The sequence below is a fragment of the Homo sapiens genome, chromosome 22 (assembly GCF_000001405.40).
Source record: "Homo sapiens chromosome 22, GRCh38.p14 Primary Assembly".
Classification (NCBI taxonomy): domain Eukaryota; kingdom Metazoa; phylum Chordata; class Mammalia; order Primates; family Hominidae; genus Homo; species Homo sapiens.
In genome coordinates, this window is record NC_000022.11 from 46,475,090 (window position 1) to 46,487,375 (window position 12,286).

General features: G+C 50.0%; 1 protein-coding gene and 1 pseudogene across 5 annotated transcripts in view, besides 1 other annotated feature; both read right to left on the reverse strand.

Moving 5' to 3' along the window:
* The window catches only part of CELSR1 (cadherin EGF LAG seven-pass G-type receptor 1), a 176,447-nt gene that overhangs the window by 113,916 nt on the left and 50,245 nt on the right, over positions 1-12,286 (reverse strand). The window contains exon 1 of one of the 5 annotated variants that reach the window (XM_011530555.3): positions 9,009-9,186. The exons of the other annotated variants lie outside the window; for them this stretch is intronic. The gene's annotated coding sequence lies outside the window, so the exon portion shown is untranslated. Of the gene's footprint in view, positions 1-9,008; positions 9,187-12,286 lie in introns of those variants that run through there. 5 annotated transcript variants of the gene reach the window in all.
* Positions 4,095-4,624: an enhancer, noted in NCBI's record as "H3K4me1 hESC enhancer chr22:46875081-46875610 (GRCh37/hg19 assembly coordinates)". NCBI's record gives its function as "activates a minimal SCP1, AML or CMV promoter by ChIP-STARR-seq in primed H9 embryonic stem cells {active_cell/tissue: H9 hESC(primed)}" and the evidence as "EXISTENCE:reporter gene assay evidence [ECO:0000049][PMID:30033119]".
* FAM136EP (family with sequence similarity 136 member E, pseudogene) lies at positions 4,543-6,672 on the reverse strand (annotated as a pseudogene).

Consider the following 12,286-nt stretch of genomic DNA (forward strand, 5'->3'; position numbering starts at 1 on the left):
ATTCACTTAACATCCTTCCTCGTCTCCTAAATTATAAAATCCTAGAAATGACAAGAATTATTCTGTCACAAGATATGGAGGAGAGCACGAAAGAACCACATCCCCAGGCCCTCAGCATTAGATGAGTCAGGATAAACATTACACATTATTATTACTGAAAAAAACCCAACTTCAGGTAGCACAAGAAATAAGGAGGCCTTAAAAACGACAGACACCCTGACACACGCTACAACACAGATGAGCCTTGAAGACATCACACTGAGTGAAAGAGGCCGGTCACAAAAGGACAAATACTGTCTGCTTCTGCTTACGAGAGGTCCCGAGAACAGTCAAATCCACAGAGACAGAAAGTAGGATGGTGAGTGCCAGGGACTAGGGGAGGGCTGTGGGGAGGTGGCATTGAATTGGCACAGAGTCTAGTTTGGGAAGATGAGGAAGTTCTGGAGGTGGATGGTGGTGACGCCCATGAAACAATGTGAATGCATTTAATGCCACTGAACTGCACACTTAAAAATGGCCAAGATGGTTCGTTTTATAAAGTTTATTGCAATTAAAAATAAAGAAACGAATGGGGGGGGAAGAAACAAGGAGAAATGAAGCTACGAAGATATCTAAAACCTCCTTCTCAATGTCACTCCCACATTTATTATTTATGGTAAAATCACATAATCTTCGATAACACTTATTAAGAAATGTTCTCTCCTGATTTCATGTACAAAATAAAGCTCATATCCTAAGGCAGAAGTTAGAATCTAATTCAGGATTTAATACTATTAAGTTGTTCCATGTTATTCCAACACAGCTCATCATGTCTCTGCTTGATGGAACCTTCTGGAAGCCTGAAATAATAACAGGCCCCACTGTGCCCCAGGAAGGTGTGTTCACACATCAACATAGCCAGCCCAACGCCAGCCTAAAGAAGTTGTGGGCTGAGACGTTGAGCAAGTGCATTCTTGTCAGGAGGCAGAACTTTCATTTAAGAGTTAAGGATTGCTTCCTCACAAAGCTCAACATAGAATTAACACATGACCCAGAATTCTATCCCTAGGTGCAATGCAAAAAAATTGAAAACATACATCCACACAACTTGTCCACAAATGCTCACCACAGCATTATTCACAATAACCCAAAGTGGAAACCCAAACGTCCACCAATGTATGAATGGACAAACCCAGTATGTTCCATTCATACAATGGAATATTATTCAGCCATAAAGAGGAAGTAGGCTGGGCGCGGTGGCTCATGCCTGTAATCCCAGCATTTTGAGAGACCAAGGTGGGTGGATTGCCTGAGCTCAGGAGTTCGAGACCAGCCTGGGCAACATGGTGAAACCCCATCTCTACCAAAATATAAAAAATTAGCCAGGCGTGGTGGTGCACACCTGTGGTCCCAGCTACTCAGGAGGCTGAGGTGGGAGAATCGCTTGAACCTGGGAGGCAGAGGTTGCAGTAAACTGAGATGGTGCCACTTCACTCCAGCGTGGGCAACAGAGTAAGACTCCGTCTCAAAAAAAAAAAAAAAAAAGAGGAAGTACTGACCAGGCTACAACGTGCATGAAACTCACAAACTTTCCGCCAAGTGAAAGAAGCCAGACACGAAAGGCCACATAATCATGATTTCATTGATATGAAACACCCAGAATCCACAGAGACAGAAGCCATGCTGGTTGCCAAGCGCAAGGGGCAAGAGGGACCAGAAGTGATTAAGCTTACTGGGTATGGGGCTTTCTCAGGTGATGAGAATGTTCTAGAACTGCACAGAAGGAGAGGTTGCACATCGTGAATGTAACAAATGCCACTGAAGTGTTCATTTTAAAGTGGTAATTTTATCGTATGTGAGTTTCACCTCAATTTTTTTAAAAGGCAAAAAGAGTTAAGAATTGATTCTTAGTAAAAATTTGTCTTATTTTGGCGTGACATTGTACAAAAGGAGAAAGCGATTCTAAAGGGCATTTCAAGAACCATTTCCTTCAAACCAAGCTGTCGAATGAAGTCAGAAATGAACAGGTTTCTAAGACGTGGAACTACTTCTCCTTCCAAGAGCAGGAAGCCACCTTCCGACCCTGGAGACACCAAACTCCCCCACCTTAAAGATGCTGAGTATGGCTTGGGTAGAGCCAAAGTCGCCATCTGTTTATACCATGAGCTAAATATCATGGGAGAAGCCCACACAGGCCCACCCGCCACAGTGAAGGCACCAGCCGGGACTTCGACAGGGATCAAACACCTGGAGTTTATCAGGAACCTTCTGTTGTCTCTGCTTTGCTTCAAGTCCTCACAGAACAATCTGAAGGCATTCGTTTCCTGAACAGGAATCCAAACGTCTGACCACAAGAAACCCCTTGTTGGGGAGTGCCGGGAACTCCTGTGGGGAGACGCTGAGTGGCCAACGAGCCTGTTTTTTTGTTTTGTTTTGTTTTATTGGCTTTTTTTTTTTTTTGAGACGGAGTCTTGCTCTGTCACCAGGCTGGAGTGCAGTGGCACAATCGGCTCACTGCAACCTCCACCTCCCGAGTTCAAGCGATTTCCCTGCCTCAGCCTCCCAAGTAGCTGGGGCTACAGACGTGGGCCACCACGCCAGGCTAATTTTTTGTATTTTAGTAGAGACAGGGTTTCACCATGTTGGCCAGGATGGTCTCGATCTCCTGACCTCATGATCCACCCGCCTCAGCCTCCCAAAGTGCTGGGATTACAGCCTTGAGCCACGGCACCTGGCCAATGCTGTTTTAAGATAAGAAGAAAAAGGAGGAACCCCCGGGCTTCAGCTTCCAGGACAGGTACCCCATGGCAGCACTGTGGACTCTCGTGGGGGCTGGGTAACTCTCTGTGGGGTGCCAGCCCCCGGGAGGATGCTGGGCAGCACCCCTGGCCTCCACCCACTGGATGTCAGCAGCACCCCCACCCCAGGCTATGATGACCACACATGTCTCCAGACAACACCTGCCAGGGCAGCAGCACACCAGCTGAAAACCCAGCCCTCGGAAATGATCACCCAAACCTCTGGACCCCTTCCGGCCTGAGACTCTCAGCAGGTACCAGGAGCCCGGGAAGCACCGAGCTCAGGGCTCCTTGGCTCAGCACCCGGCTTTGCCAGACCACTCGGGCCTCTGCGCCTCCCGACAGCGCCGTCTGGGGCATTCCCCTGCCAGCTGAGCCCAGAGATTGACACGGGCTGGGCCAAAGGGGAGCCATTCCAGCCTCGCTCTTCCCTGCCAGAACCAGAAAGCCACCTCTCTGCCCTCGTCCTGGAAAAATGGGCCAAATTCCCCAAGGCAAAGATTAAACGACAAAACAAATTTCAAAGAACAAGTGGGCACCTGGTTCTGAGCCAAATGATGCCTTCCAGCATGACAATGCGGCCCTGAGCACCTGCCAAGGGACAACCATATGTTCCCTGGCCCGACGTGTCCACGAGCCACTGCCAGCCCAAGAGAGCTGTGGACAATAAAGATGAGAATTTTTTTTTTTTTTTGAGATGGAGTCTCACACTGTCGCCCAGTCTAAAGTGCAGTGGTGCGATCTCGGCTCACTGCAACCTCTGCCTCCCGGGTTCAAGCGATTCTCCTGCCTCAGCCTCCCAAGTAGCTGGGATTACAGGTGCGTGCCACCATGCCCAGCTAAAATTTTTTTTTTTTTGGTATTTTTAGTAGAGACGGGGTTTCACCATGTTAGCCAGGCTGGTCTCGAACTCCTGACCTTGTGATCTGTCCGCCTCGGCCTCCCAAAGCGCTGGGATTACAGGTGTGAGCCACCGTGCCCAGCCGAAGATGAGACGTCTTAGTAAACACAGCAACGAGCCCAACCCAGCCCTGCAGCAGGTCCTGCTCAGAGCTCTCAGGCTCTTCAGCCACTGCTCACCGCAGGCCCAGGGAGTCAGGAACGACCAGGGCCAGTCTGGAACATTCCAGGCTCCAGGTCTAAAAGTGCTATCCAGCACCCAGCCAGGCTCCTCATCCAGCCACCTCAATGGCCAGAGCAGCAGGTGACCCTCGGCCTCCCTCTGCGTGCCCCTGTGCCACTATCTCCATCTTCCTCTTCTCCTTGCCCGGAGTCTCGCATGCTCACACCTGCGGCTGGTGCAGCATCCGCCGACGGACGCTCCCGGGGTTTTGCTGAATCCTGGGAGCTTCTCTCCCTCCAAAATGACCTGCTGGACTCAGGTCTGTCCCGACCCCCATGCTTGTCAGCAGTGCCTCTGAAATGCTGACTCATCTCCAGGGACCAACCTGCGTCAAGCCGCTCCTACCCCCGAGCCCGAAGGCCCTCCTGTGCAGAAAGGCTGCGGCAGCTGCCAGGGGAAAACTGTCTGGGCCCTGCCCTGGAAGCCCCTACCACTCCAGGTGAGCCTCAAGCAGATGCCTCGTCTTTGGGAAAAAGCTACCCACGGTGGCTGAACCGGCACTGCAGCCATGTCCCCCACAAGCTCATCACGGAGCCAGAGACCACAGCTGCCTCTGGGCAGGAGATGCTGGGTTCCAGGGGCCAGGGATAGTGAGCTGAGACTTTTTGTGGTTATTTGGACTTTTTGGGGGGGGGCCGGGGGTGGGTAGAAAATTAAACCTTATTTATTTTTAAAACCAAACCACTAGGAAAATATATCACAGCCGGGAAGCAGCAAATGGACAGGCTGTCTTATCATTTCAAGTAATAAGCTGGTGAGAATACAATGAGGTTGCTATCAAAACAATAAGGTGCCATGCCGGAGCAGGAACACTGCAAGCTGCGAAAGCCCCAGGCAGAAATGGTATTTGGTAACGGGGGCTGCCTCTCCTTCACTCTCAGGGAGTCAGCTCATCCTAGCCCAAGTTGCTTCCTTTTCCTCCCTTGAATTTCCTGTTGCCAGGGGTTTGTCTCGACTGGACTCTGTTAATTCAGGGGCTAAGTAGGCAATGCTCGGTTTAGGTCTTCATTCCATCTGTTCTACAAAAACCAGGTTTTTCCAAATCCAGTACTTCATAACTCTGTTATAATCAAGTAGCCAAATGCTCCTCTTCTACTGTTCACTCCTATATACTAGTATGTATCACAATCAAAATCCCCTTCTCTTCACGGGCAAAGTGTTACTGCAAGATTGTCCTGTCGTTTTGCTACACACAGCCTCAAGGCCCATCAGCCAGTAATTCTGCTTCCCACAATTAGTGTGTCGTCGCCTGTCATGTTTTTGCATGGTCTCCAAGCTGTGGTAGACGAAATAATGTCTCCCCCTCACCTCCCAAGAAGAGGTCCATGTCTCAAGATGCAGCATGTCAAAATTTTAAGAAAAGTACATCCACATCCTGATGACCAGAAATGGGGATCCTTTCAAAGTTCTTATCCAAATGATAAGGAACCTTTCAAAGTTCTTATCCAAATGAGTTTCCCTCCCAATTCCACATCTTAAAATCAACTTGTATGCCCTTGTATAAATTACACAAAACCAGGAAAACAAAGACACAGAAAACATTTTTTCCCTTCTAAGTGAGTGACCTCATGGATTTTGTTTCACAGCTTATGGAAAGTGATGCAGAAACACTTCTGGTAAACAGGATGTTGGCAACGAAGAGGAAATATCTCTCTGCAAACTCCACCAACTCTAACCTGCCAGCCTGTTGGTACCTGTGTAGTAAGAAGAGTCTGGTGCCTTGGGGGCTCTGGCTTGTTACAGGGGAGATCCTTACTGCCAGGACAAGCACTGGCCACAGGAAATATAAGCTCTAAAACTCTCCTGTAATATCTCTGACCCAATTTAGCACCACTTTTTTCCGTTTCATTTTTTAGGACTAAAACATAAAAGAACCAGTGTCCAGAGGCAAGTGACATATGCTTTACACTTACGACCATCCTTCATTTCTTCATTCATAAACTTTGCTTAAAAGACTAAAATTCCGGCCGGGTCCGGTGGCTCACGCCTGTAATCCCAGCACTTTGGGAGGCTGAGGCGGGTGGATCACAAGGTCAGGAGTTTGAGACCAGTCTGACCAACATGGTGAAACCCTGTCTCTACTAAAAATACAAAAATTACTTGGGCATGGTGGTGCATGCCTGTAGTCCCAGCTACTCAGGAGGCTGAGGCAGAAAAATGGCTTGAACCTGGGAGGTGGAGGTTGCAGTGAGCTGAGATCGTGCCACTGCACTCCAGCCTTCCAGCCTGCGCGAAAGAACAAGACCATGTCTCAAAAAAAAAAAAGACTAAAATTCCCAATTCCTTATAAAAAATACATTATTGCCCTCAGCCCCGATGGCCACTGGCAAAGACTTTTATTTCCCAATGGATGAGAGAGCCTCCTTCACCTTCTCGGTCATAGTTGGGAGCAGGTGCATGTGGTCATCCACACACTTGGTCACACCACCTTCCAGCTTCTGCTTCAACTGAAGCTCCTTACTCCCAGCATCTATTGAATCTTTGGCTTTGTCGTTGCAATGCGTGGTGCACCGGACCAGGTGGTCCTGGAACTTCTCCAGCTCACTGGTGATCAAAGCCTGGGCTTAAGCCAGAGGCACATGGTGGCACTCGATGCACTGGTGCACCTGCTCCGTGGAGGCCTGACTGTCCTCACAACAGCTGGTGCTGCACCAGAACATGAGACAATGCATCTTCCAGATGTTCTCTCTCTCCAGACTCTTCACCATGGAGTCCACCACCTCCTGCACCCGCAGCTGCTGCAGCTCCCCAGTGGCAACCCTGTGCTGCCCCAGTTATTTGAACTTTTCTAAATCTTTTTTTTTTTTTTGAAACAGAGTCTCACTCTGTTGCCCATGCAGTGGCGTGATCTCAGCTCACTGCAACCTCTGCCTCCCGGGTTCAAGAGATTCTCCTGCCTCAGCCTCCCGAGTAGCTGGGATTACAGGCATGTGCCACCAAGCCTGGCTAATTTTTGTATTTTTAGTAGAGATGGGGTTTCGCCATGTTGGACAGGCTGGTCTCGAACTCCTGAGCTCAGGTGATCCACCAGCCTCAGCCTCCCAAAGTGCTGGGATCACAGACATGAGCTACTGCACCCGGCTGACTTTTATAAATCTTGGCCATGGCCATGTGTGGTAGACAAAATAATGTCTCACCCTCACTTCCCAAGAAGAGCTGCATGTCTCAATCCCCAGAAGCTGTGACTGCGTTATGCCACATGGCACAGGGGCACGGCCGCTCACCAGCAACCTTAACCCACGAGAGTATCCTGGAGGATCTGGGTGGCCACAGGATCCTTAAAAGCAGAGGAGGGAGGAAGAGTGGGAGAAAGAGCTTATGGGGACAGAGGAAGTCAGGGGATTCTATGCTGCTGGCCCTGAAGACAGAGGAAGGGCCATCAGCCAGAGCAGAATCTGTTCTGCCTCCCTGGGTAGCTGGAGAGGCAATACCAGATAATGAGAGCAAAGACCTGTGTAGCTCTTGCAATCCTCAGGGGACTCTAGGAGGCAGAAAATCCAATCACCCAGTTTTACTGATGAGGAAACCAAAGCACATAGAGGTTAAGTGACTTGCCCAAGGTCACAGAGGAAGTGGGTGGCAGAGTGGGATTGCATATGCCTGTAAACTCAGCTACTCGAAAGGCTGAGGCACGAGACTCACTTGAACCCAGGAGGCAAAGGTTGCAGTGAGCTGAGCTTGTGCACTGTACTCCAGCCTGGGTGAAAGAACAAAATCCCGCCTCAAAAAAAAAAGAAAATTATCTACAGGGTCCTTCATAGGGAACTCACAAGATGATTCTCTAATCTCCACAGAAGACCAATAGGTCAAGAATAGCCAAGGCATCCCTGGAGAACAGGGGAGGGGAACAAGCTCTATCTGATGTCAAGATTTATAGCCTGTAGACAAGGGAGTGCTGGCATGGAGCAGACCAACAGACTGATGGACAGAAGATGGAGCCCAGAAACAGGTCCACACGCACACACAACAGAGCTGGCAAATGGGAAAGAGGAGCATTCCCACACATGGTCCCAAGCCACTCAGCTGTCTACATAACGGACAAAGTGAAACTGGATCCCTACCTCACACCAAGCACAAACATCAATTCCAGGTGAACTAAGGACTTAAGCAGGAAAGACAAAGCCTATTTTAGCAAGGATCATTCAAAATCATGTTTATGATCTTGAGATAGGTAAGCAATTCTTAAACATGACACACAACACACTATCGTAAAGGGGAAAAAGTATGATTTTGATTACATTAAAAACAAGGACTTTAGAAAGAACCTTATTAATAAATTAATGATGAGACATTAATTAACATAAGCCACAAACTGTGAGACCCGCCTCACTGGGTGTCTAGGGCGCAGTCCTCACAGTTGAGCACACCCTCTTTATGGAAACATGCTATTCCTGACTTTTTTTTTTTTTTTTTTTTTTTTGAGACAGCGTCTCGCTCTGTCACCCAGGCTGGAGTGCAGTGGCAGCCCACAGGTTTTCCATTCAAGGTGCTTTCCCTGACAATCCCACTCTGCCACCCACTTCCTCTGTGAACTTGGGCAAGTCACTTAACCTCTATGTGCTTTGGTTTCCTCATCAGTAAAACCGGGTGATTGGATTTCCTGCCTCCTGGAGTCCCCTGAGGATTGCAAGAGCTACGTAAGTCTTTGCTCCCATTATCTGCTATTGCCTCTCCAACCACCCAGGGAGGCAGAGCAGATTCTGCTACCCCAGTGACAAGGGATGTGGGGCCCAGAAAGGCTCAGGAACTGTGCCCAGGACACACAGCTGTCTGTTGGGGATGCAGGTCGCCATCTTCCTGCCAAGGTAGAGTGAGGCCTGCAGTCTCCACGTGTCTACTCAGCTCTTTCACACCAACACTTTCAGGAGAGAAAAATAATTATTAACTGCAGAGGCTTAATGAGGATATGGAGCTGCAAGGCTTTCTAATACCAATAATTTGTACCTATTTAAGAGCAAAGGTGTAACAACAAAGGCACTGGCACCAACAGGCTCAGAAGCCACATCCCTTGCCTCCAGGTAAAGGAGCACAACTGTCAATTTCACGGAGCACAGAACATTCCCAGGCTCCCACGGGCTCCCACGCTCTGCCCTGGCTCTCAGACTCACCTGTAGGGAGGAGCGCCCCAGGCCTTCCGCCCAGAAATCCAAGGGTACAGGGCAAGAGAAGGGGAGCTGCTGGGGAGAGCCGTTACGACGGTGGGGACGGGTCCGAGGTCTGAACTGGGCACCAGTAAACCTGGCATCCACAGGGCCCACCAGCCCCAGCTGCTCAGTCCCAAGCAAGACCGCTGGGAGGGTCCTGCAGGGGACAGAGTCCCTCCTTCCACCAGCCCAGCCCAGCCCATGGTGGCAGCTGCCTCGGGCCCAGCCCTCCTCAGAAATGCAGGCTGCAGCATCTGCCAGGAACTTGGAGGAGCCACCCCTCCTAGGCCTGAAATGTGTCCCCACTCAGGGGCCCTGAAATCCCTTCCAGAATAATTTCACAGAGACCTCTTTTGAAATGCAAATACCAGGGAGAGGCTATATTAAGCCACTGACCCCTGATAGGGTTAGTGCCTCAAGTTAGAGCTGGGGGCAGCCCGGGACAGCCTGGCAAGGGGCAGCTGCGCTCACATACCACGAGAGCTACCTGGCCCACTCACTGCAGCACCTGTTTTGGCTGGGCATGGGGGTTCTGCCCCAGAGACCCTGTGGCCATCAGAGATGCTGGAGTGAGCGCTCACAGGGACCCCGCCCAGGTGCTGGGGAGGTCCGGCTGCTGCCTGAGGTCTCCAAACACTACCGAAGCCCACCTCCAGGAACAAGGATATCATCCTTGTTACTTCCAGGGACGCCTCCCTCCAATTTAGTGAATGGCGAGCAAATCATTTTCTTTGGGGGAAAAGATCAAATATTGGCCCAGACGTCTATTAATTTGCAACTTGCATTGAAACTGCTGAGAACAGAAAAGCTGAGATTTCGTTTTTCTAGTTAAATATTTGCTGAGAAAATTCCAGTCCTAAATTTCAAGAGACTGATTCAGCATGACATTAGAAGGGTCATTTGAGATGATTAACTAGAGGCTCTCGTGGAAGAAACCTGAGAGAAAGATGACGCAGGCCTCCCCGTGAAAACACTCAGTTTTAGCCAACAGAGAAAGTGTGTGTGTTAGCATCCTTGCTTTTGTCTTGATTGCAGCTTCGAGGTTTTTCTGTAGTTGAGTATTTTAATTTATTTCTTTCAGGCCTCTCTCCCCTGCCACCTCCAGATGGTGAGATTCGTTTCCAGTATTCAAAGACTAGAACAAAAACTCTCACCTCACATTGGGTTCTGCTGGAAGACAAGCCCTCCATCCTGACCTTGGCTCGGGTTCCTCTTCCCAGGCCTTTGTGAGTGGCGCCCCCAACTCCCTCTCCCTGAGGCTAATGAGCTGGATGCCTATTTTGAAACCAGTGAGTAAGAAGATTCAAGCAAAGACTCAAAGCTCCGTTTGGACGGGAGGAGGCCCATGTGCCTGGGAGGCTGCATGCGGGGCCGCCAGGCAGCTTCTGTCTGGCTCATTATGGAGGATCCGGGAGAGAAGTGAACGTCACAAGTAAAGCTGAAAATAAAATCTGGCTGGCTGAGCATCTCCAAATTGCCGAGGAGCAAAAGCTCATCTCCAAGACAGGCGGCCAGCAGGCTCCATGCACCTCTCCATCCACACCTGTGCTGTCTGCGCCCATGGGGTTTGTGTGGCGGGGACCGTTGACGCTCAGGTTCTGCACAGTGCCTCCCACAGTCTGGGGAAATGGGCGCACTGGAGCCATCAGACCCCGCAGAGGGAGAAACAGAACCCTGTTCTGCAAACGTGAACCCGTTTTGTTCAGCATGTCCTGCTTGTGTCGTTTGTCTATGACAGTGATATGTGTCGTGGCCCAAACTAATCTGCTCTTAATATGCTCTAACCTTTCAGGTACTTTTTTTTTTTTTTTTTTTTTTTTTTGAGACTGAGTCTCGCTTTGTCGCCCAGGCCGGAGTGCAGTGGCGTGACCTCGGCTCACTGCAAGCTCCACCTCCCAGGTTCACGCCATTCTCCTGCCTCAGCCTCCCAAGTAGCTGGGACTACAGGAGCCCGCCACCTTGCCCAGCTAATTTTTTGTGTTTTTATAGTAGAGACGGGGTTTCACCGTGTTAGCCAGGATGGTCTCGATCTCCTGACCTCGTGATCCGCCAGCCTCGGCCTCCCAAAGTGCTAGGATTACAGGAGTGAGCCACCGCGCCCGGCCTCAGGTACTTTTTAAAGTCATGCATCAAGGCCGGGCACGCTGGCTCACGCCTGTAATCCCAGCACTTTGGGAGGCAAGGAGAGTGGATCACTTGAGGCCAGGAATTTGAGACCAGACTGGCCAACATGGTGAAACCCCATCTCTACTAAAAATACAAAAATTAGCTGGGCGTGGTGGTGGGCGCCTGTAATCCCAGCTACTCAGGAGACTGAGGCATGAGAATTGTTTGAGCCTGGGAGGCAGAGGTTGCAGTGAGCCAAGATCATGCCCCTGTACTCCAGCCTGGGCGACAGACTGAGACTCTGTCTCAAAAAAAAATAAAGGCTGGACGCAGGGGCTCACGCCTGTAATCCCAGCACTTTGGGAGGCCAAGGCAGGAGGATCACCTGAGGTCAGGAGTTTGAGACCAGCTTGGCCAACATAGTGAAACCCCCTCTCTACTAAAAATACAAAAATTAGCCGGGCGTAGTGGCGCACACCTGCAATTCCAGCTACTCGGGAGGCTGCAGCAGGATAATCGCTTGAACCCGGGAGGTGGAGGTTGCAGTGAGCGGAGATCGTGCCACTGCACTCCAGCCTGGGCGACAGAGCAAGACTCTGTCTCAGAACAAAAAAATTAAAATAAAGTCATGCATCAGGACACGTCCACACAGGATGTCTTCTGAAATGCCTCCAGGCCCATATTCCCCCACCTCTCTCCAACAGTTTCTGTTCTGGCCCCTGCTCCCCACTCATCACACGTTTACTGAGCACCTACTGTGTGTCTGCTCCCGCCCCCTGCCCCCTCCACTTCCTGCCCTCACTCCCACTCCCACTCCCACTCCCACTTCCACACACCCAAGGTCTCAAGAACAGCAGCTCCAAATTCTTCCCATGGCACCTTTGGCTCAGATCTGGAGAGATGGAAGAGCTGACGCTAATATCACATATCCTGCTATTGCATGATTAAGAGATGACTTACAAGTAACAAATTGGATTTCCCTCTTAGAGTACCCCAAGGGTCCTGAAAGAGGATTTCAGTTCTCGAGCTAATTGCAGACGATGTCTGCAATTCATTCATAATTAAAAACTATTTGGTATAATATCTTTTTAAAGATTCTAATCTGCAACCTAAACGCAAAGAAACTCTAATTAAAA